At 48.6% G+C, this 24,233-nt stretch overlaps 1 protein-coding gene across 5 annotated transcripts in view, besides 1 other annotated feature; it reads left to right on the top strand.

Annotated features, from left to right (window-relative positions):
• The window catches only part of C2CD2 (C2 calcium dependent domain containing 2), a 68,907-nt gene that overhangs the window by 38,103 nt on the left and 6,571 nt on the right, over nt 1–24,233 (top strand). For all 5 annotated transcript variants that reach the window (NM_015500.2, XM_011529522.3, XM_011529523.3 and 2 more), the window contains 8 exons: nt 1,195–1,318; nt 3,476–3,584; nt 6,393–6,457; nt 8,132–8,256; nt 8,750–8,924; nt 10,079–10,192; nt 14,167–14,294; nt 16,554–16,863. In NM_015500.2, the coding sequence (NP_056315.1) occupies nt 1,195–1,318; nt 3,476–3,584; nt 6,393–6,457; nt 8,132–8,256; nt 8,750–8,924; nt 10,079–10,192; nt 14,167–14,294; nt 16,554–16,863 (1,150 nt within the window). The remainder of the gene's footprint in view (nt 1–1,194; nt 1,319–3,475; nt 3,585–6,392; nt 6,458–8,131; nt 8,257–8,749; nt 8,925–10,078; nt 10,193–14,166; nt 14,295–16,553; nt 16,864–24,233) is intronic.
• Nucleotides 16,334–17,334: an enhancer, noted in NCBI's record as "H3K4me1 hESC enhancer chr21:43318691-43319691 (GRCh37/hg19 assembly coordinates)". NCBI's record gives its function as "activates a minimal SCP1, AML or CMV promoter by ChIP-STARR-seq in naive and primed H9 embryonic stem cells {active_cell/tissue: H9 hESC(naive and primed)}" and the evidence as "EXISTENCE:reporter gene assay evidence [ECO:0000049][PMID:30033119]".

Genomic DNA, 24,233 nt, shown 5'->3' with positions numbered 1-24,233 from the left:
CTGGCGCCACCTCCGAGAAGCCCGTCTGGGTCCCTGAATGCTTGCAACGAACAGAGCCTCTTTAACCCGCACGTTGTGCACATGTACCCTAAAACTTAAAGTATAATTAGAAAAGGAAAGAAAAAGAACTTAAAACAAACAAACGAACAAAATAAATAAAATAAAAGAACACTCTTGGCCAGGCGTGGTGGCTCATGCCTGTAATCCCAGCACTTTGGGAGGCTGAGGCGTGCGGATCACCTGAAGTGGAGATTTCGAGACCAGCCTGGCCAACATGGTGAAACCCTGTCTCTACTAAAAATACAAAAAGAATTAGCCGGGTGTGGTGGCGGGCACCTGTAATCCCAGCTACTCAGGAGGCTCAGGCAGGAGAATCGCTTGCACCCAGGAGGCAGAGGTTGCAGTGAACTGAGATCGCACCACTGCACTCTAGCCCGGACAACAGAGCGAGACTCTGTCTCAAAAAAAAAAAAGAACACTCTTGGCAGTGAGTGACAGGTGGAACCCGGTTTGGGAAATGCTGGTTTGAAGCTGGGCTCTTCCAGATTTGGGGGTGCTTTCTGTTGGAAACGCCCTGGTGTCTGTTGGAGGATGTGATGTGGTGTCTATTGGAGGATGTGATGTGGTAGAAGCTGGTCCCAGCTGCCCCTGCCTCTGTCCCCTCACCTGTGCAGTGCTAGGGTATGCATAGACTTTCCTCATGTGGACGTTGGACTCTGTGTGGAGGTGGGAAATGGGTGTGGGCTGACAGCCCTGGCTGTTCCCATCTGTCTGGTGTCCTGCTCTGTACTAGCAGGCCATGAGTGCCCGCAGCCAGCGGAAGAGGTCCTCATGCTCTTAAGCACCTGCCCGGGTCAGATAGTTTAGACCCATGGCAAAGTGAGCTCCATCTTCCCCCGTGGTAAGTAAGTTGTGGGAACCCTGTCTGTGGATGAATGCACTGCTACTTGTACTTGCTGTATTTGGGGTAGAAAATGCTCCCAGGCAGGAGGATGGCGATGGCTCATTGGCTCCCTCCCTTCATGTGAGAAGGGAAATTGTTTCAGAGCAGATCCCAGAGCTCGGGCTCCCTGTGCAGGTTTTCCTGTAGACACCCCACTGCCACCACCCCCCATAACAGGAGTCCAGTGGCTACTTCCTTGGCCCTCAATCTCCCCATGAAGACCAAAAATAAAGTGCTCTTTATTTTTTCAGAACTTACAGTGTGCTGCATCTACTGCTCAGGAATCCTGTCCTCCTAAACCTCCAAGGGCTCACGAGCTGAAGCTACTGGTGAGGAACATCCACGTCTTGCTGCTCAGCGAGCCCGGTGCCTCAGGTGGGTGACGATGGGAGCCTGCCTGCCTGGAGGGGCTCTTCCAGCCCCTGAGCAGAGTCGGGGGCTCCGGGGGGCCTTGGATTCTCTGGTGGCATCCTCCCGTGGGGGTGCAGCGGGAGCCCTGCCACGGTTGCAGAAAGCACCTGAAAATGTAACGGGAACAAGAGATGGTAAAAAATCCAATCCTGTTTCTGCACGTGGGAAGGCCAAGGAGGGAAAGGAGTATAATTGGTTTGGCCTTTTTCATTTGTCTGGAATTGTCCTGCCTTTTTTATCTTTTCTTTCCTTTTTTTTTTTTTTTTTAACTGTTGAACCTGTATGTATGTGTTAAGCATCCTTGACCAAGGTGCAGCTTCTGCTTTCTTTTTTTTGAGATGGAGTTTCGCTCTTGTTGCCCAGGCTGAAGTGCAATGGCACGATCTCGGCTCACTACAACCTCCACCTCCTGGGTTCAAGCGATTCTCCTGCCTCAGCCTCCCTAGTAGCTGGGATTACAGGCGTGCACCACCACGCCTGGCTATTTTGTATTTTTAGTACAGACAGGGTTTCTCCATGTTGGTCAGGCTGGTCTTGAACTCCCTACCTCAGGTGATCCGCCCGCCTCAGCCTCCCAAAGTGCTGGAGATTCTGCTTTCTTAGAAAGTGGGTGAAGGGGGATGTAGGGAGTTGATGGGCATCAGATGGCTTCGGCCACACTCGGGACTCCGATGCTGGGAGACCATGGCTGCTGTTGGAGCCAAGACAAGCAACACAGAATGGATAACCCCTTCTGGGTGGTTCTGAATCACTGTTGAGGCCCCAGACACAGAGTCACTCGGGACAGGGCACCTCTTTACAGCGCGACTCCATTTTGCCAAGAACAGGAGCAAATTGTATTGCCCGAGTATGTTAAAGGTGACTTATCTTTATTTGCAAGGGGCTTCCTCCAGTTCCAAAAGCACAAATGGGCCACATCTAGCAACTGAGACTGTGCAGAGCTAGCTGTTGAGGATGTTTTTTGGTAAAAGTGCCCACATGTTGCCCTTTCAGCCTGTACTGCTTAGTGGCTAAACGTGAGCTCCCTGGACTCGGTCGGTCAGGGTTGGGGTCCCAGCTCTCACATGTACCTGTCCTGAGGCCAGGCCCCGTTCCTGCCTCTGCTGGATGTCCCCACGTCTGGGTCTGAGTCTTCTCTTGAAGAGTGACTGTGAAAGCTCAGTAGCGAATGCGTGGAGGCTGCTTCACCCTGCTGCTGCGTGGTCCAGCGTCCACACATTCCAGCAATTACTGATTCCACAGTGTATTGGGGACTTTGTGCTGCAGGGAGAAGCATTGTCTCAAAGCAGAAACAGCTGTTCACTAGTGACATGTCCTACTACCTGGATCAAATACCCTGGCTAGTATCAGGTACAGCACCTGTCTGGTGTAAGTCGGGAAATGGGAACTCTGTGAGGTATATTTCCAAATTTAGGAGTCAACACGAACTGATGTTTAGGCTTTGGCAAACTGTTAGTCTTGTCTAAAAGTGGGGACCATGCCTGTGTATATAATGGTGCTGCCTCTCGGGGAGGGTCCCCCTGGGAGCCCACGCTTGTGGCCAGCACTGACGGAGGGGGCGAGGTACTTGGGGTCAACAGCCCTTGGCTGTTGATATCAAATGTGGGAAAAAATTACTTAACTCCAATAAAGGCTGGTGCTATGAGCATTTGAAAATGGCAGATGCAAGAATTCCCACTCTCTGAAGTGGGTAAACCTCGACCTTAGTCATTTAATTTAGCCTTTTTTTTCTATGCATACAATGTCTTCATGCAATTTAAAAAATAAAAATAATGCTGGGCGCGGTAGCTCATGCCTGTAATCCCAGCACTTTGGGAGGCCGAGGCGGGTGGATCACGAGGTCAGGAGTTCGAGACCAGCCTGGCCAACATGGTGAAACCCCGTCTCTACTAAATATACAAAAATTAGCTGAGCGTGGAGGCGTGCGCCTGTAATCCCAGATACTCGGGAAGCTGAGGCAGGAGAATCGCTTGAACCTGGGAGGCGGAGGTTGCAGTGAGCCGAGATTGCGCCACTGCACTCCAGCCTGGGCGACAGAGCGAGACTCTGTCTCAAAAAAAAAAAAAAATAAATAAATAATAAAAATAAACGCCAACACGATGCCCTTCTATTTAATTACAGGCCACATTAATGCAGTGTGCGTCGTGCAGCTGAACGATCCTGTTCAGAGGTTCTCCAGCACCCTGACGAAAAACACTCCGGACCTCATGTGGGAAGAGGAATTCACCTTGTGAGTCTGGCCGGGTTATGGGCCTGTGTGTCCACGGCCGTGTCTGTTCAGGAGCGCCAAATCCTGAAATCATTCTGCAGCACCGTTTAGGCTAAAACACTAAACCAAAACAGTTAACAACAAATGATGTCTTAAGCATCTTAAAGGTAGCTTTAGGTCAAACATGGGTTTTGTTGTAAAGGCAGCTCTTAGAGTCAGTTTTCTCCTCCTGCCCTGATATGATGAGAGGGAGCCATCGTGGGGTCTCTTACAGACACACATATCATCCAGGGTGAAAAGGGAGGGAGCCTCTGACTGAATCCAGAACCTAACGAAGAAAATAGAAAAAGGCGCTGGGTGCAGAGGCTCATGCCTGTAATCCCAGCTGTTTGGGTGGCAGAGACGGGAGAATCGCTTGAGCCCAGGAGTTTAAGACCAGCCTGAGCAACATAGCGAGACCTCTTCTCTACTAAAAGTTTTAAAAAATTTAACCGGGCATGGTGGCCCTTGCCTTGCCTGTAGTACTCCTAGCTATTTGGGAGGCTGACGCAGGAGGATTGCTTGAGTCTGGGAGAGCGAGGCTTCAGTGAGCTGTGATTGTGCCACTGTATTCCAGCCTGGGTGACAGAGAGATACCCTGTCTCAAAAAAAAAAAAAGAAAGAAAGTCTGGGAACAGTAGCTCACACATGTAATCCCAGTACTTTGGGAGGCTGAGGTGGGTAGAGGTCAGGAGTTCGAGACCAACCTGGCCAACATGGTAAATGAAACCCTGTCTCTACTAAAAGTACAAAAATTAGCCAGACATGGTGGCAGGTGCCTGTAATCACAGCTACTCAGGAAGCCGAGGCAGGAGAATCACTTGATCCTGGGATTCAGAGGTTGCAGTGAGCTGAGATTGTACCACTGCACACTCCAGCCTGGGCAACAAAGTGAGACTCCATCTCAAAAAAAAAAAAAAAAAAAGAATCGAGATAGGGAAAAATGTAGGCCATGCATAAATAATGGGGTAAGAATCATAAATAAAATATTATCAAACAGAATCTAGCAGCACATGAAAAATAAAACCAGCTGTGTTCATACCAGGAATGTAAGGATGTATGTGTGCTTTCTCATAAGGAAATCTGTTAATGGTGTTCATTGTATTACTAGATCAAAAGAGAAAATAAATGTATTTTCTCTACATATGTCCAAAAGACATTCAGTGACATTTAATACCCATTCTTAATTTTTAAAAACTTAATTAGAGCAAAATTTATGGATACTTCTTTAATAAGATTTTAAAAATCACTATAAATGGTAAATACCAGAAGCAGACTCACTAAAATCAAGAGAAGGATGCCTATTTTATTCTAGAAGTATTGGTTAATGCAAATTAGATAAGGGAAAAAACTATACACAAATACCGGAAAGGAAGAGGCAAGACCAATCATTGCTTGGAGATGATATGACTGCGTATCAGGACTATGCAAGAAAATCAACCCAAGCTATTAGAAAGAATAATTGATATAAGGTAGAAATGAATATTTTAAAAACTAATAGACATAATCATTTAATGAATTAGCTGAGTACCAAAGTATTAAAATTAATCATAATCTAATCCTTAAAAAATGAACAATTAGAAAAAGTAATGGAAGAAAATTTCCCGTGTGTGTGTGTGTGTATAGCTTTTATAAATCATGAATGAAAAGATGACAGCTGCCTTAGAAAACTGAACAAAATTCCTGAACTGGAAATACAAAAGCCAGAGCTACCAATGGCCATAAACTTCTGAAAAGATGTTCAGAAATAAGTAAAGTCATGCAAACTTCAGCAAAAGGGAGAGGTCATCTTTCCACCTCACAGCTTGGTAAAGAATAAGAGAGTGATAATGGCATTGGAGGTGTCACTGGGAATAAGCATTCTGGATGCCATCCGTCGACCTAAATGAAAAACACCTCTCAAATGCACATGCCATTTGACAGGCAATTAGAGTTTTCCTAAGGAAATAATCACACGGCGTGCAAAGATATATGGGTAAGAATGTGCCTCTCAGCTTGTGTATAGTTATGAAATAGTGGGGACCACCAACACATTAAGAAGGGTTGTTTAGTAAAGAGTTGGCTAAATAAAATCTCCTAAGGGCAAAGAGCAGAATACTAGAGGCCCATCCAACATGATGTTGCTCTGTAGTTATACAGAAAGACATCCACAAAATTTTCAGTTAAAAGAATAGGTTACAGGCTGGGCGCGGCGGCTCACACCTGTAATCCCAGCACGTTGGGGGGCCGAGGTGGGAGGATGGCTTGAGCTCAGGAGTTCGACACCAGCCTGGGCAACGTAGCAAGACTTCATCTCTACTTTTTTTTTTTTTTTTAATGCCTTTGTAATGAAAATAAATAGGTTACGAAGGAGGAGGGAGGTATATCATGTTCCGTATTTTGTCTTTAGGTCATTATATAGCTGTGCTTTCAATATGGCAGCGACTGGCCACATGTGTCTCTTTAAATTAAATTAATGGAAATTTTTTAAAATGACGTTCAGTTCCTCAGCTTGCACTGGCCACCTCTCCAGTGCTCCGTGCCTACCGCATTTGACAGCTTCTCTGTCACTGCCATCACAGAACATCCTGTTGACTACTCTGGAAGGCTAGTCACCGAATATTAACAGTAACTGTTTCCGAATGGGGAGGTTGCAGATAACTCTTTCCCTTTTTTTGCTTATATGTCTTGGTAGTTTGTTAAATATTGACATCTTTGTCTTCCTTTCTATAATCAGAAAAAACACTCTATTTCATAAAAAGAATCAAGCATTGCATTTTTTAGGACTCATAACTTGTTTCTCTTCCAAAGCGAGTTGAATGCCAAGTCGAAGGAGTTACACCTGCAGATTTCAGAGGCTGGGCGATCCTCAGAAGGTGGGTTGAGCAGGAGGACAGAGGCCTCGCCCTCTGGAAAGGTCCTCCGCTGCATGACCTCGGCCTCAGGAAAAGGGCGGTGGGAGATCCAGCAGAGGAAGCTGACCCCTCCTCTAAATGACTTTGGTTTTCCCATGGGAATGTTTGGTCGAAAGGCAATTTGAGTTATTAACAAGGTCATACATTTTGGGGAAATGTTCAACTGGATTTTTTGTTTGTTTTTTTAAAAAAATCCAAAATCTTTTATGCAACAATTCTTGGCATAGAGAAGTAGTTCTGAACCCTCTTAGCTCCAAGAGACCTCCTTTTTTTGGAAAACAAAAACAAAAACAAAACCTTTTAACTGTAGTAAGATAAACAACATAAAATGTATCGTCTTAACCATTTCTAAGTACATAGTTCAGGGGCAGTAAGTACATTCACACGGTTGTGCAACCATCACCCCCATCTATCTCCAGAGCTTTTTTCATCCCTACTCTACTGCCTGTATGAATTTCACTGGGTTTTTCCTTGTAAAATAAACTACAGAGGTTTACATTGAACTCAGGATTTATACACAAGAAAGCAACAATTAGAGGTAAAGTCACTAAAACACTAAAATGAACGTGGGCCTGTATGTGTGTGTGTGTACACATCAGTAGTTTCAATATTTGTTAGGTTTTTAAAGATACAAATATTTTCTTAGATTGTAAAACTCTCCCCATAAACATACCAAAATTGGGAAGCCCTTGCCCAGCCTATCCAGCAATAAAATCAAGCCATTTGGTTACCTCCTAAAGTGAGAAAGTTGTTATTTCTCCCAGTTAACTAGTTTTATATCCTAGTTGTTAGCAAGAATCCTGAGGCGACTTCCTTGATTTTGGAGTCCCGAGAAAACTGGGATGCCCGTGAGATAAGAGTCCTGAGAGAGAAGCCTAACGCAGGTCGGGGACCTGCACAGCATGGGGGTGCTGTTTACCTGGAGAGAAGTCAACTTCTGATCCCATTCCTGGGTCCCCACTCCTTCTGGCCTCACTCAAATTTCGTTCCAGCCCAGCCTGATGGAATCCATGAAATTTCGAACTTTACAAAAACAATGCAAAGAACAGCCACATAACCTTTACTCAAACTCACGTATCCTTAACATTTGCCCAGTTTCCTCTACTATTTGTGCTCATGCTTGGTCTCTCTCTCCCTCCCCTTACTCATTTTCTTTTACACACACACACACACACAACTTGAGGGTAAATTGTATGCATCTTGGCCCTTTATCCTCAATTCTTTAGTGTGTATTTTCCCAGGAATGGAGATACTCTCTGCTGTGTCCACGGTACAGTTGTCAGCTCCCTGAATTTACATTGCTGCAATTCCTTAGCTTATGCCCATCTTCCAGTTTTTGTCACTGGACGACCCCGTGATGTCCTTCAGAGCAGTGACCTTTCCACTCCGGCACAGGGCCGGACATTGCCTGCCTGTCTTATTGCTTTAGCATCCTCTGTCCTGCAGCGTTTCCACAGCCTTTCTTTGTCTTTTATGGCATCGACATTTTTCAAACATTCTGAAACGTGAGCACTTCCCCGTGGGCTGGATGCACGGGAGGAGCGTGTTCCGGCTGCTGGGCGTGTGGGCCTTTCCGTCCTCACGGAAGCCCGGGAAACATCAGCGGCACCCCTTGCCTGTCTCCTATCTTTTCAGGTCTGCTGGCGACGGCGACAGTTCCTCTGGACTTATTTAAGAAGCAGCCTTCTGGGCCACAGAGCTTCACGCTGACCAGCGGGTCTGCCTGCGGCAGCTCGGTGCTGGGCTCGGTCACGGCAGAGGTAGGGCGAGGCTGTCCGCCGCGGCCGGGTTCCGGCTTGGGGCACTTACCCAAGGAGCGTCTTCACTTATGTCTGCAGAGTCTCACTCCTGCCTCTGTGTGAAATAAGACCTCCTCCAAGAGGAGATGCTGTTTCATCGTACGCAGGACCAGACTCGAATAGAGCACGTTCTGTCCACTGTACAATTGAGTTGTCTGCTGGAGGAGATAACTGTTCAGGATGCCATTTTATGGACCTACCCCAAAAAGGCCTTTGAAAGTTTTGCTTGGTTCCCCAGCTTCTATTCTGTTGCCATCATTACGTGTTGAGCTGGCTGTGCGTAAGGTTGGGTCTGTGTCCATTCTGGGAATATCCAGGTTAATTGGAGATGCTAAGTGACCTTAAGGGAAGGAATTATGAATTATGGTTATTTCACAAGAAGGCAGTGTTACCTGGCTGATCAGCCTGGGCAACTTCCACAAAACCAGAAACAAGTAACGCGTCTTCTCTGCAGTTCTCTTACATGGAACCTGGTGAATTGAAATCCTGGCCCATCCCTCCCCCTGTTCCTGCTGCAAAAATAGAAAAGGACCGCACGGTGATGCCCTGTGGGACTGTGGTCACTACTGTCACTGCTGTGAAGACCAAGCCTCGCGTCGACGTGGGGAGGGCGTCCCCGCTGAGCTCTGGTGAGACAACAGGAACGCAGTCGAGGAACTTTCTGCATGACGCCTGCCTGTAACCACCTTGCCCCCACAACTGCAGAGTTCTGGAGCCTGCAGCGCCGAGTGTTAGGAAATTCTCACAGCACAGGAAGGGTGCTAATTGGCCACACTTGTGCTTAGTTTGTTGTTGTTATCGGATGACAGTTATCTTTCTCTTCTGCCAAACACATATGCAATAAACTGAAACAAGGTTCAATTCCCATGGTATATTCTGAAGCTAAAATCTAGATAGTGTAAATAGTTGCCCTTAGGTGTAACTCCAACTAAGTTAAATTAAGAACTCAATGATAGGGCTGGGTGCAGTGTCTCACTCCTGTAATCCCAGCACTTTGGGAAGCCGAGGCGGGCAGATCACCTGAGGTCAGGAGTCTGAGACCAGCCTGACCAACGTGGTGAAACCCCATCTCTACTAAAAATACAAAATTAACTGGGCGTGGTGGCACGTGCGTGGAGTCCTAGCCACTCTGGAGGCCGAGGCAGGAGAATTGCTTGAACCCAGGAGGCAGAGGTTGCAGTGAGCTGAGATCACACCATTGCACTACAGCCTGGACAACAAGAGCAAATTTCAAAGAAAAAAGCAAAAACAAAACAAAACAAAACACGAACTCTATTACCTGTATGTGGGGACAGCACACGCTTTTTTCTTGAAAAATTCAAAGTGAGTGGTCCTTGTAGACTTTCTTCTGTGAAAAATCGTTTGCTAGAAGGCTTGACGGACTGTCATTTGAGATCCAGCTGAATTCTGTACCTGTCTCCACAGGCACTGCCTTGGAGACAGAAGTTTCTGTATAAGCGTATGCTTTATTTCTCAAAATTCATACTGCATCTCTGCTTGGGCAAAAGCATTATCCTCCCAGAGTGCATGAGTTGGCACAGTTCAGGGATGCAAAATAGAATGGGAAATTCTGGCTTAGTTAAAATGTTTCTGAAATTTTATTTCAACCTGGACTCCAGACACCACTCTTGCCCCTCCTCCCCTCAAAACAGCTTTCGTTAAGCTTTGCCTTTACCAACTGCACACACCAGAGTTGCAGTGAGGGCTGTCCTTTCACTTTTCGGTAACTGTTGATCCAGTCAGCCACGGGGCCGCTTTTGTAATCAGGATCTTCCTCTGGCAGATTCTCCGGTGAAGACTCCCATCAAGGTGAAGGTGATCGAGAAGGACATCTCTGTCCAGGCCATCGCCTGCCGCAGCGCCCCCGTCAGCAAAACACTCTCTTCTTCAGACACAGGTAACTGAGACACGCCCACGTCGCTCTCCCTCTTAGCACCTTTGGGCCTTTTGGGCTGTTCTGATATGAAGTATTTTCCTTTCAGAATTTGGAAAAAGTTGTTTTGGGCCTGGTGTGGTGGCTCACACCCGTAATCTCAGCACTTTGGGAGGCTGAGGCGGGTGGATCACTTGAGGTCAGGAATTTGAGACCAGCCTGGCCAACATGGCAAAACCCCATCTCTACTAAAAATACAAAAATTAGCTGGGCGTGGTGGCGCATGCCAGTAATCCCAGCTACTCAAGAGGCTTAGGCAGGAGAATCGCTTGAACCTGGGAGGCAGAGGTTGCAGTGAGCCGAGATTGCACCACTGCACTCCAACCTGGGTGACAGAGCGAGACCCTGTCTCTTAAAAAAAAAAAAAAAAAAAAAAAGTTTTGATTTGCTTTTGTTTTGTTAATGAGTGATGAGTGAAGGAGAGGGAGAAAAGGGAACTCCAAATTGATCAGAGACCAGGAGCGGCATTCATATTCCTGCTACATTTTAGGGAATGCTTTAACAAAATAAAAAGCCAACTGAGACTTTACATTTTAAATTTTCTGTTCATTTTTCTCTTGCACAACACGCTAGCTACATTAATAGCAAATAAGTAGGACTCAGGACATCGTCCTCACCGTCACTTTAATTTTATTCACCACTTTCTGCTTACACCAGCTTAGTAGAAGTAGTTTTCCCTTCCACTAGGAAATGGTCACTACGAATAGGAAATGCAAATTCCCTATTTTATGGTCAGTTTCAGGTAATAGACTTTTTGAAGAGATGTCTTACTGACTCATTAAATCACTGCGCAATCTAAATTTGGGGATTAACTTTCTCCCTTTGCCTCCTCGTGACCTGCTCTCAGGGGCAATGGATGCTTCCTTCTTGCTTAGCTCTCCCACATTCGCTGAGTCCTGTGTCTGACCTTGCCCAGGTCAACAACTGGGCAAGGTGGGGCAGTCAGGGGAGTGGAAAGTTCTCACTGGAGGGGCACTGTCTTAACATGGTGTTGGATTCTCAGCCTGGTGAAAGTTCATAACTGCCTCCTCCTCTTGTGGGAGGTTTTATGGTTTTTTGGATACTACCCCGCTGGGTCCCCCACCTGCAGTTCTGGGACGCAGGCCCTGCCCCTCCTTTCGTTACCAGAAAAGGATCTTGATCTAGACCCCAAGAGAGGGTTCTTGGATCTGGTGCAAGAAAGAATTCGGGGCGAGTCCACAGAGTAAATTGAAAACAAGTTATTAAGAAAGTAAAGGAATAAAAGAATGGCTACTCTGTAGGCAGAGAACCCGTACGGGCTGCTGGTTGGCTCTTTTTCTGGTTCTTTCTTGATCATATGTTAAACAAGTGGTGGATTATTCACGAGTTTTCTACGAGGGGCGGCGATTTCTCAGAACTGAGCATTCCTCCCCTTTTCAGACCACGTAGGGTAACTTCTTGCCTTTGCCATGGCAGTTGCAAACTGTCATGGTGCTGGTGGGAGTGTCTTTTAGCATGCTAATGCGTTATCCTCAGTGTATCATCGGCAGTGAGGACAGCCAGAGGTCACTCTCATTGCCGTCTTGGTTTTGGTAGGTTGTGGCCGGCTTCTTTACCACATCCTGTTTTATCAGCAGGGTCCTTGTGACCTGTGTCTTGTGCCGACCTCCTAGCTCACCCTGTGAGTAAGGGCACCTCACCTCCTGGGAGTGCAGCCCAGGGGATCCCAGCCTCATTTTGCCCAGCCCTTATTTGAGCTGGAGCCGCTCTGGTACTAATGCCGCTGATGCTTTTGCCGCTGCCCCTGATGCCCCTTCCTCAGTTTCTTCCCCTGGCAGTGCCCCCACTGCCCATGCTGCGGGGTCCTGTCACGTGGGCAGGATCCCTCTTAAAAGACCTAGGCTGATGTTCCCACTGTGGGTTCTGATGCATGGTCCATGGAGCCGGCCCCCAGGCTCACCTGCCACGGTGCAGGCTGCACCTGGCACCTGGACCGGGCTCTCGGGGGACTGAACAGAAGCACTGGGCCTGGCGTGAGGAGGACGTGCTCCCGACACGTCTCCCTTGGTGGCTTTGGGAATTACAGCACAGCTTTCTCCTAAGGAGTCCTCCCCAACTCCTTTCTCCAGCACTTCTCTCTTCTCAGTGTGGGTCAGTGGCTAAACAAAAATCTGTTCCTCTACTCACAACACTCCTGACGCCAAATGTGTAGATTTTCTATGGCAAGCAATTTTCTGTTTCTCTGCAGACACCAACTGGGTGTCCTACAATTTAATTCAATTCTGGCATTACCTGGAGTTAGCTCAGATCCCACAGGTGAAAGGCTCAGCCCCACAAAACCACCCTTCCACTTTAGATGTCAGGTGCAAATAGTGGGTCCCCAGGTTACCACACTTTTGTCCCACTTGGCTACAAATTGGGGTTTCCATGACACACTCCTCGGGTTCCGTAATTTGCTATAATGGCTCACAGAACTCAGAGAAACACTTTACTTGGGTTTACCAGTTTATTATCACACAAATGCACAGCCAGATGAAGGGGCTCAGGGCACAGTCTGGGAGGGTCCTGAGTGTGGGAGCTTTGATCTCCGTGGAGTCGCCCCTTTCCCAGTACGTGCATGCGTTGGTTCACAACCTGGACGCTCCCTGAGCCCTGTCATTTAGGGGGTTTATGGTGCTTCTATAAGTAGGTATGTAGGCATGATTGATTCACTTATTGGCCTTTGGTGATTTGAGCTCAATCTCTAGCCCCTTTCCCTTCCCCACAGGCGAGAGGAGGGCAGAAAGTTCCAGCCTTCTAACCACAGGGTTGGTGCCTCTGACATCCAGTGCCCGTCCTCATTAGCATTCACTCGGATGGGGTGCAGGGGCTTATTAGGAATGAGAAGGATGCCCCAGCTCCGTGGCTCTGGAATTCAAAGGATTTTTTTTTTTGTTCTCTGTGCCAGGAACCAGGGAGGAAGACCAAGTATCTATTTATTATTCCCCAGTGTCACTGTTGTCACCGGTTCTTGGCCTCTGTGGTCTTATCTTGACTCCCTTTGGAAATGCAGCATCTGTAAGCCTCAGGCCATGGCCAAAACCGAGACAGAAGTTCCTTTTACCATCCTGCTACTTTAATAGCTTTGCCATTTTGACTTTACCTGAGCAGGAAAGTGTAAGTTACAAGCATCAGCTCTGAGTCAGAGAGACCTGCTGGTCATCTCAGCTCTGGGGCCTCCTGGCTGCTGGACATACTCCTCAATGGTCAAATGGGATAAAAGGAAGGACCTGCTCATGGGGTGTGGAATAGGAGTAAATGAGAGAATGTGCACAGAGCTCTGTCTCTGAACAGCACCTGGTTTGCCGTAAGCATTCTATTGATGTTGGCTGGTGTGTGTTGTTATTAACCTGGGGAAGGAGGTGCTTTTATTAACTGGCCCTTCATAGCTCTAGTTACTATTCTATGTATTTAGGCACTCTTGGGAGGGAAAAGGAGTCACTACCTTGCCTTTCAAAGTTCAAAATCTTCCAAAGGGTTAGATATTTTTTTTTTGTTGTTTGCTTGCTTTTGCCATTTTCCATCAACTCTATTCAGGTATAACTTAAATAAATAAAATCGGTGAATCTTAAGCAGACACTTCAGTGAGTATCTTGTAACCACCCAGGGAATCAAGCTGTAGACCAGGGGTCAGCAAACAGCAAACTATGGCCCATAGGAAAAATCTGGCCCGTCACTTGTTTTTGTAAATAAAGTTTTACTGAAACCCAGCCATGCTCATTTATTTACCTGTGGTCTCTAGCTGGTTTCACTCTATAAAAGCTGCATTGAGAAGTTGTTGCAGAGACCACCAACAAAGCCTAAACAATTGACCCTTTGGCCCCTTTTAGAAAATATCTGCTAACCATTGCTTATCGACCATTTCCATTATCCCTGGAAGTTCCCATGGAAGTCTTTAATTTTTGCTGATGAACTTAACACTGCCTTCCTTCTGGTAGAATTGTTGGTGTTGAATGGTTCGGATCCAGTGGCTGAAGTGGCCATTCGACAGCTCAGTGAATCTTCAAAGCTGAAACTCAAGTCGCCACGGAAGAAAAGCACTATTATCATATCAGGGATCTCCAAGGTACCATCGTGGTGGCTGGGGAGGTGTTCATCTGGTCATCTGTCAGTGACCTGCTGCTCCTCTGCCCTTTGAAGAAGTTAGCCCAAGCACTTGGTTAACGTCCAGAGAGTTCCATTTACAAATGTCAAATTATGTTCCTCACCCCACAAAGGAGTCATGTGTGGTGTTGTGTTTACACAGTTTATCCTATTCACCAAGGACATGGGAGACTTTCTAATCAGGGACGCTTTACACGTTGAGAGGTTGGCAAATCATTTCAAGAAAAATTATCGAAAGAGAGGAACATGATGTAAGACTCCCCTTTGGTACAGAACCTCTGCTCTCGTCACCACCCAGTCACGGGGAACTTTCACTTTCCACGTGACACGTTTCCAAAGCCTTTTACTTTTTTGCAGTGAATGTTTATTCCTTTTGTAATCAGAGAGAAATGAACATTGTAGTGTCCCCCGTGGACACCGCACTCCCTTTCTCCCCCTTCTCCCGCTCTGGGACGTCCGCTCAGAGCAGGTGGTGGCAAGTGTGTGGTTTCAGCTGTGGAGAGGCCAGCCCCTCAGGTGAAGGGCCATGTTACAGATCCTTACTCTTTTTATTACATTTTTTAAAATTGATTTTAAAATTTTTATCTATCTATTTATTTATTTTGAGACCAGCTAATTTGTTATGAGACTGGCTAATTTTTGTATTTTTGGTAGAGATGGGGTTTCACCACATTGCTCAGGCTGGTCTTGAACTCCTGGGCTCAAGCGATCCATCCACCTTGGCCTTCCAAAATGTTGGGATTACGGGCGTCAGCCACTGCTCCCGGCCCTTACTTTTTTTTGACATTTCCAAATGAACAGGTGGAGGGAGAGTTGGGAAGATTTTGATTTGGAGTAGGAGGGGGATGAGGAAGAATTCTGGACAAAAGAGTGGGTGGGTGGGCAGAGGGCACGCAGAAGATGGATTCCTCAGTGGCTGGGAGACAGGCCAGAACAGGACCTTGGAGGTGCCAGAGATGAGTCATCAACCTTGCCATTGTACCCAGAGGGTGGCCTTGCCCCACGTCCCAGAGGCAGGCGGGTGGTGTTTTGGGGGCTTCCTGAGCCCCTCCAGGGGCCCTCAGCAGGGATCCATGACCTCTCTGGAAGTCCGGGGCCCAGTAGTTGGGTTTTCTTCGCTCTTGGGTGAATGAATGAGCAAAATAAGGACAAGACTCGTGGTCATCTCCCCTATACTTTCTCTAAGATCATATTTAAAAATCACAAAGAACTCCTGGATCTTAGTATTTAATGTTCTGAATTCACCGCAGTGATTATTTTTATTGGTGCTCAGATTATCTAATCTTTATTTTATTTTATTTTATTTTTTTGAGACGGAGTCTCGCTCTGTCACCCAGGCTGGAGTGCAGTGGCGTAATCTCGGCTCACTGCAAGCTCCGCCTCCCAGGTTCACGCCATTCTCCTGCCTCGGCCTCCTGAGTAGCTGGGAGTACAGGCGCCCGCCACTACGACCAGCTAATTTTTTGTACTTTTTTAAGTAGAGACGGGGAGATTATCTAATCTTGAGTCAGTGGGCGCTTCCACAGGCTGGCACTTAAGTCAGAACAGCACAGTTGTCCCTAAGCAAACGCCTGTGTCACTGCCACCCACACCAAGAACAGCATGACTGGCCCTCAGGGAGCCCCCATGCCCTCCTCCCCAAACTTTCTCCCCTCCAAGGAAGGGAGCCCCCGTGCCCTCCTCCCCAAACTTTCCCCCCTCCAAGGAAGCGCTATCCCGACTCTCAGAGGTTCATTTAGTGCTTAAATATTTTTACACAAAATATAATTTTTGAGAGGATGTGCCGGTGAATTTCCACTTGCAGGTAACATAAACGTGTAGGAACAAAGACAGCTAAACCCGAAACACCCACGGCCATTTCCTTTGTGCTGTCGTGGACTCTGAAGGACGGGCTCTCTCTCTCGCATCTCATTTCTGCAGCTTGCCACAAACGCTCCCACCGCTAGGCCCATCTGTGAGAGGAAGAGGGTTAACCTCTGAGCCCCGGGGGCCAACCCCCAGCTGCCTAGGGATCCTGAGCCCTGGCTGTAAGGGAGACCTTTTTTAACCCAAGCATGAGCAACGGCCGTGATGTATAAGCGCCTTCTATGAGGCCCACGGCTGCATCTTCTGAGACTTTGAAATCAGCTGTCAGAATGTTTTGGAGAGTGCTTTTCAGTTCTTTTCAAACCCTCCCTTCCTTTCATGTATCCCTTGTCATCTTCCCCACTGCCCCTGACAGACCTCACTATCTCAGGACCACGACGCTGCCCTGATGCAGGGCTACACGGCCTCTGTGGACAGCACCCACCAGGAGGACGCCCCATCCCATCCGGAGAGGGCGGCAGCCTCTGCCCCGCCAGAGGAAGCCGAGTCAGCCCAGGCATCCCTTGCCCCCAAGCCCCAGGAGGACGAGCTAGACTCCTGGGACTTGGAGAAGGAGCCACAGGCCGCGGCATGGAGCAGCCAGGTCCTGCTGGACCCCGACGGTGATGAGCTGTCAGAGAGCTCCATGAGTGTCTTGGAGCCGGGCACTGCCAAAAAGCATAAAGGTACCTGCTCCCGAGCCCCCCATCCCGGGCCCCCCACTTGGTGGCTTTGCGCTCATGCTGGCTTCCAAGCTGAAGTCATCTGCCTTCCTTCCCTTTGTCCCCTACAAACTCCCTCCCAGCCTCACCCCTGCCCCTCCAGAAATGCCCTGTGCTGAATGTTTGAACCCGTGGTGGGGCATCTGCCGGTCCTTCTGTGGGAGGGTTGGCGTCATCTCTGCATTTGGGGTCAGTGTGTGTCCATGCATAGAGGCCCCTTCCTCAGTCTGGGCTTGCTCCACCTGGCTTCCCGACGGGTTACCAAGAGCTGTACACAATGATGGGCTGCAGAGACTCAGAGCAAAGCCAGGCAGAGCCTGGGGCTCCTTCCACTGCCGATATGGACATCTTTGCTCCTTTGTGCCTGTCAAGAGTCTCCCTGCACCTGAAACAAAACCAGACCTCACCACCTGACCCTAGGAGGCTCTACAGGGAGAAAAGCTCCTGGGAATAATGAATCGGTTAACTTAATATGTGGGTGCTGAGGAGGTGATCATTTCATTAGTACTGATTGCTTCCATTAGCCCTAAGTCCGTGCTTTAAAACTATAAATTCCTTAAGCGTGTGCAGATTTGCCGAGACAGTGCCTTGGCATGAGTAACCTGAATGTATTTGCTAAGGACATATAGTCTAGGGGCTTGGGGTCCGTTCCAGATGTGAGACTCACCGAGCCTCAGCATCCTCCTCCATAAGATGAGGAGCATGGCCGCTGCCTGCGCCCACCTGACTCCACCATTCGGGGGACAAAAGGACATCTTGGTGCAGAAGACAGGACTGGGGGCAAGGCAGGCCAAGCCGTGAGCTCAGGTGAAGCTCAGCATTAACTCCTGGCTCTGGCTCTTGTGTGGGGCTCCAAGGCTTTCAGCGGAAATCTCAGGATGTCCTGAGACCATCTGTGTCGGGAAATCGAAGGGGCTCCTTGGGGGAGCTTTGTTAAGCGCTGCTGTCGCTGCCTTTTGTCCTCTGTTCTTGATGCCATAGACCAGTGATTCTCAAGCCCAGCACTTTTTCCCTCCAGGGAATATGGCAGTGTCTGGAGACACTTTAGTTGTCACAGCTGGGAGTCTGGGGTGCAGTCGGCATCTAGTGAATAGAGGCCAGGGATGCCACTCAGCGCCCTGCCGTGCACAGGACACGCCCCCACAAGGCAGCCTCACAGTGCAGCATGCTCTGGTCCCAAATGTCCCTGGTGCCAAAGCCCACAGCCTGCCATGGGCTGGACTGTCTGAGTCTGTCCTCTTCCCCTCTCTCCCTGTCTTTGCTTTGTGTCCCTCAGCCATGGCACGGCGGCCTCCCTCTCCCATGCCCCCCTCCTTGCCAGTGCAGAGTCGTGATAGGTGTTGGGGGAAATGGAAAGTTAGAAGAGGAAAGGGAGAAGGAGGAAATTTCCTGGATAAGATTTCAGACCCGTTGGACTCTGTTTGCCCACTGCCTGGCCTTGGGGTGCTTGATGCATGGACCCCCCTCCACAGAGCACTTGAGGGCTGTAAGCTGCACGCTGACCTCTGTGGCAGGCTCCTGTGCTCCTGTTAAGAGGCCTTGGCTTGGGTTATGTCAAAGGTGACCTGGTCACCTGACACACACACCTGTGGCCTATTCTTTGTCTTGTAGACAGTGAGTGCTGGGCGAAGCGGGACAAACATGGGTGCAGGGTGGGGTAGCTCTTCCTCTCCCTTACCTGACTGGATGGCCCGTTTCCTCTTGTCCTGGCAGAACCCAACCCCCCGTCCGCCCTCCTCATTCCTTCTGAAATGCCAAGCCTCGCTCACTCTGTTCATGTAAAGATCTGTGTTCCTTCACACAGCCCCTCCTCCTTCCCCCTGTCTGGTTTCCCTTCCGGGAGGTCTTTCCCTGGGTTTCCATCCTTGCTGTGTCACCCACCCTGCTCCTCTCCCTTCACGGGCCAGGTGGATGAGGGGTCCACCCTTTGGGGACTGGGTGTCGGGCAGGTGTGTTGGGGGCTGGGGCTGGCCACCTGCAACGCAGGCTCAGAACTTGCCGGAGGCTCGGCATTTGGGAATGCAGCAGAGAGGCTCAGCCGTGCCGTGCGTTTCACTCCTGCGCCCCTACCTCATTGACCCCAGGTTTTTGAACAGGACATACTTGGCAGCAGTTTTAAATGTTTCCTTCCAGTGCTTTTAAAGAGACTTGTAATTAGCATCTCTGTGAGATGCTGTCACAATCTGAGACGATTCTGTGTTATGGGTGCCAAGTCATTTTCATTTTTCAACCAAACATTTTTCAAAACTGGTGATAGAGGATGTCTTTTTTTAAAAACTAAAGCTTGTTTTTTTTTTTTTTTTTTTTTTGGTTTAAGAACCACCTGTATCTTTTGTCCTGCTAAGGAGTTTGTATTCGGTTTCTGAGAGTGCCTGTGTATTTCGAATCCTCCTGAGGTTCTGCTGGTTGGAAACCAGCCCGCACAGGAAATGTATTCCCCAAATTTTTATTTACTTTTAGTTTAAAAAAAGATCAGTGAAGTTGGTCGTGGATATACTCAGCACCACTGAGCTGTGCCGGTAGAAATGGTTAAGAGGGTATATTATGGGTATGTTACCACAAGTAAGCACAAAAGTTTCAAGGGAGGTTTTCGGAAAAAAAACTTGGAACAGTAAGAAACCTTGCCAAATATCCTGCACAGTGGCGTCCTGTGTGCGTGTGGTGTCTGTAGATGGCTCAGAACCCTTACCCACGTCCACTCTGATGTTGCTCTTGCATAATTCTTTCTGCCTCTTACTTCTCTTCATCTCATGCTCATTCCCTTTAACTTAAGAGGATCGCTATGCCAACCAGAATTAATTGCCTGCACAGTAAGTTATTTTTGTCTTATTTTTCTCAATTACACGTAGACGTCCTAGGAGTGCAGCCTGTAGCTCAGCAGCCAGCCGACCTGCCTGCCTCGTGTTCCCTCCCAACTCCGCCTTTACCCTCCTAGGTTGCTAGTTCCGCGTGTTCCTCCTGACAGTGCTGTGGCTGAGGTTGTACAGGGCCTATCAGGTGAGGGCGCTCGCTCTGGTACCTGATGTGGCCAGGCGACCTCGCTGTGACACCCACAGGAAGAAGCTGGTTCCTTTTGTCGTCCTCCAGAGCTAAAAAGTAGTCGCTTCTATCAACGGACCATCTGTGGTTCCAGTTGAAATCCGATGCTGTTCTTGGGAAGCCAAAGACAATTGTTTTTTTTTTCTGGTCATTGTTTTTCTTTCTGCTGGGTTTTAAGACAGAACCTTCAATTCGCTATTTATGTCTGTTAGACTCTGTAGAGACAAATAGGAATACATTTGGAAATATTTATGACATTAGAGCTATAATTTAGATTAATTATGTTTAAATTCTTTCACGTATTTGTTTATACTTCAGCCTTCTTGTGATTTGTTTTTTAAACCTTGTTAGAACCAGGGAAAGACTTTTCTTCTTCTCCCTGTCTCCCATTTAAAATCTTGGTTACTTGCCTCCAATTTCACATAACCACTCCCCAAATTATCTTCAGGAATCTTGAAGGTTGTGGGTGAGGTCTAAATCTCGCTTCTTGCTGTTGGCGTAGAGAAGGTAGCCTGGAGTCAAGTAGTCAGGCTTCATGCAATCAACATGGCCCCGGCTATTGTTGACCGTAGTGTGAACTTCACTATCAGCAAAGGGCAACACATTCTGCGGGCTCAAAGTCAAGCAGATGATCTGCTTGATCCAGACCATCAGTTACTGGATCAGTCACAGTCCTCCAGAGAAGCAGAACCCATAGGTTACATATTTAAGGAACTGACTCATGAGATTGACAGGTCTGAAATCCGCAGGGCAGGCAGCAGGCCAGAGACCCCGGCAAGAGCTGATGCTTCATTCTTGAGGCAGAATTTCCTCCTCCCTGGAAAACCAGTGTTTGCTCTTAGGGCCTTCAGCTGATTGGATGAGGCCTACCCACATTCTCCAGGATAATCTCCTTTCCTTAAAGTCCACTGGCTGGAGTTGTTATCCACATCTACACAATGCCTTCCCAGCCGCACCTCAGTGCGTGTTCTGTTGAATCTCCGGGTGCTGCAGCCAGGTTGACACAGCGACACCTCACAGGTGTTGCTCGTGGAGGTGGGCAGACCGGTACATTCCATATGGGGTTACTGCCCAGCAGACAAGAGTGTGCTCCTGTCTCAGCCTTGACCCTCACAACCACCATGGGGCGGCTATTTAGTGTGCACTGGCAAATCTGGGGGCCCTGTTCTCCCTGCATCGTTTACCCCAAAGGTGATAGTGAACAATCTGCTTCCAAGTCGAAACAGGCTTTCCCATTGCTATTGAGAAAGGGAATGGAATGGCCTCTGTCCGCATGGCTGGAATCCTCCTCCCCTGCCCCCTGCATGCCTCTCTGGAGACGCAACTCATTCTGGGAATCCCGCCCGAGTCCTTGCAGGATTAGGGGGCTTTGCTCCATGAGACCCCACGGGCTTTGATGTATCCACACTCTCCGGAGTCTCCTCCCCAGGGGCCACAGACTTGCCCATTTTTCTAGACACCTGGCTGGCCACTTCTCAGACGCTGTCCTTAGCAGCATGGAAGAGCAGGGCCTGGGAACATGGACTTCAGAGCCAGAAAGCGCAATGTCACACACCCGTCCCATTAGTGTGCGACCCCAGCCAGCCACCTCTCCAAACCTTAGCTTCCTCATTTGTCCCTACAGAGTCTAGCAAACATAAATAGCTAATTGAGGAATCTGTCTTAAAATCCTATAGGTAGGAAAACAGTGACCAAAAGCAACCCTAAAAATGGTAGGGATCAGGCCTCCTTCCTCAGAGGCGGCTGGGGAATATAATTGAGGGTCCAGTCTACAGAACTGCAAACCTCAGTCCCCACCCGCACATGACTGTGCCCTGTTCGAGAAGTTGATGCCATCCCCCTAGAAGCTGTGACAAATTATCAGGTTAGGGGAAAGTGTGCAAGTCACACAAACGATTTCAGGAAGATTTGCACACGGGCACATATGACCATAATCTGGTTTCTGGCATTGATGTTGAACTATGAAATTCAACAAAACAGGCCAGGAGCCGTGGCTCACACCTGTAATCCCAGCACTTTGGGAGGCCGAGGTGGGCGGATCACGAGGTCAGGAGTTCGAGACCAGCCTGACCAATATGGTGAAACCCTGTCTCTACTAAAAATACAAAATTATCGAGGCATGGTGATGTGCACCTGTAATCCCAGCTGCTTGGGAGGCTGAGGCAGAAGAGTCGCTTGAGCCTGGGAGGCGGAGGTTGCAGTGAGCTGAGATAGCACCACTGCACTCCAGCCTGGGCGACAGAGCGAGACTCCGTCTCAAAAAAAAAAAAAAAAAAAAAGAAATTTAACAAAACAGCAGACATGCTCTGGAGAGCGTGAGTGAAGATGGAAGAACAGAAAATAACCTTGTTACCAGCCCCTCTCGGTAGGGTGTAAGAAGAGGCACAGAGCTCCCTGGGGCAGAGGTCTGCCACTGAAACAAGTTAGTCCCTCAGGGTATGGACAGACAACAGACTGGAGCCCGGAGTGAGGTTAAAACAAACATGCCGTGCGAATCTTTCTTGTCTACCATCTTTTTACATGCAGGCTGCAATCCTTGCTATTTCATCTTAATATGCCAAGAATTAGAATTTTAGGCAGTTTTTATTTTTATTATTTTATTTTATTTTGAGAGACAGGGTCTTGTTCTGTCACCCAGGCTGGAGTGCAGTGGCAAGATCATAGCTCATTGTAGTCTCGAATTCTTGTGCTCAAGCAAAACACTTACCTCAGCCTCCCAGGTTTAGGCACTTGTAGTACAATTTCACTTGCATAAATTATCATAACTGCTTGAAAATGTGCATATCCCATTTTATTTCTTTTAAAAAAAGTTTAATTTTTTTATTTTTTAAAAATAGAGATGGGGTCTTGCTGTGTTGCCTAGGCTAGTCTCCAATTCCTGGGCTCAAGGGATTCTCCAAACCTCAGCCTCCCAAAGTGCTGGGATTACAGGCCTGAGCCACCGTGCCTGGCTCCTGTTCCTGTTCTAAGGTCTTTTGAACACAGCCGTGCCTTGCCTGTCTCCACACCCATTTCCCTCTTAACCTGGGCGCACCGCGCGTCTCTGGCGTGGCACCGGGCCCTGCGGGTGGGCTGCGTCAGCTTCTACCCACACAGCCCTGTGGTCTGCCGGCCCCCAGAGTGAAGTGCGAAGGAGCATGAGCAGCGACATGCAGGAGAGCAGGTATGGTGCCTGTGTCCTTGGCCCTGGCCTGCTCCTGCGTTGTCGGCTGTGGCCTCCGAGTGCTCTAAGCACTAGTGGCATTTTGGCCAGACCCGGGCTAGCAGTGGATAACCCCAGCTGCATGTTCAAAAGACCTGGGAACTTTTGAAAAATGCTCATGCCCAGTGTCCCCAGACCCCCATCATGCCAGATTCTCCAGGAAGGGCCTGCACGCCTGTTGTCCTTAGAGGCCTGTTGTTTGGAGGGCTCGGGGCTGAGGATGCTGCTTCACTGTCCTCTCCGCCTCCACTCCTCCATGTTGCTGCCTGGGTTCTAAGGACTGAACAGGAAGACATGGTGGACGTTCCTGGATCCTTAAGCCAAATGCGCCCCCTCCCCTCCCAGGGCTGTATCAAAGTACCACAAACTGGGTGTTTGCAACACCAGGAGCCAATTCTTTCCCTGTTCTGGAGGCTGGAAGTCTGAGCTGCTGGTGCTAGCAGGGCCACCCTTTCTGAGGCCCTGTGGGAGAGCCTGCTCCCGCCTCTCCAGCTCCTGACAGCTGCTGACAACCTTTGGTGTTCCTTGGCTTGTAGAAGCATCACCCTGTGCTCTGCCTTCATCTTCACGTGGCATCCTTCCTGTGACCCTTCACAATGTCTTCCCTTGCGTGTCTGTCTCTGTGTCTAAATTTCCCCTTTTGATAAGGACAGCAGGCATATTGGATCACGGGCCACCCCAATGATCTAATTTTAAGTTGATGACTTCTGCAAGGACCCCATCTCCAAATAAGGTCACATTCTGTGAAGTACTGGGGATTAGGACTGTAACATATGAATTTGGGTGGGGGTGGGGGAGCCAAGTTCAGCCCATAACATTGTCCCTGCTCATACCTCAGGCCTGGATACAGACGCCAGGCCAGCTTCAGTGCAGGGACGCCTATGAAATGGACTTTGGAGGTGGAGCAGGAGGGAACCTCTCACTGCTGGGGGTTCTGAGTCCTTGGGTCTGTGGTTGACCCCAGGGGGTGGGTTGGCGTTCCCTCCCCCTAGGCCTCCATTTCCCCTAGAAGTGAAGGGGGTGACGTTGGAGCAGTCCAGGTGAAGCTGATGGATCCACCCCTTCCTCTCCCCTGTTCCACCTGGGAGCCCTT

This window comes from Homo sapiens, chromosome 21 (genome assembly GCF_000001405.40).
Source record: "Homo sapiens chromosome 21, GRCh38.p14 Primary Assembly".
Lineage (NCBI taxonomy): Eukaryota > Metazoa > Chordata > Mammalia > Primates > Hominidae > Homo > Homo sapiens.
The sequence above is the reverse complement of the archived record's forward strand: the minus strand, read 5'-3'. Positions and strand labels throughout refer to the sequence as shown.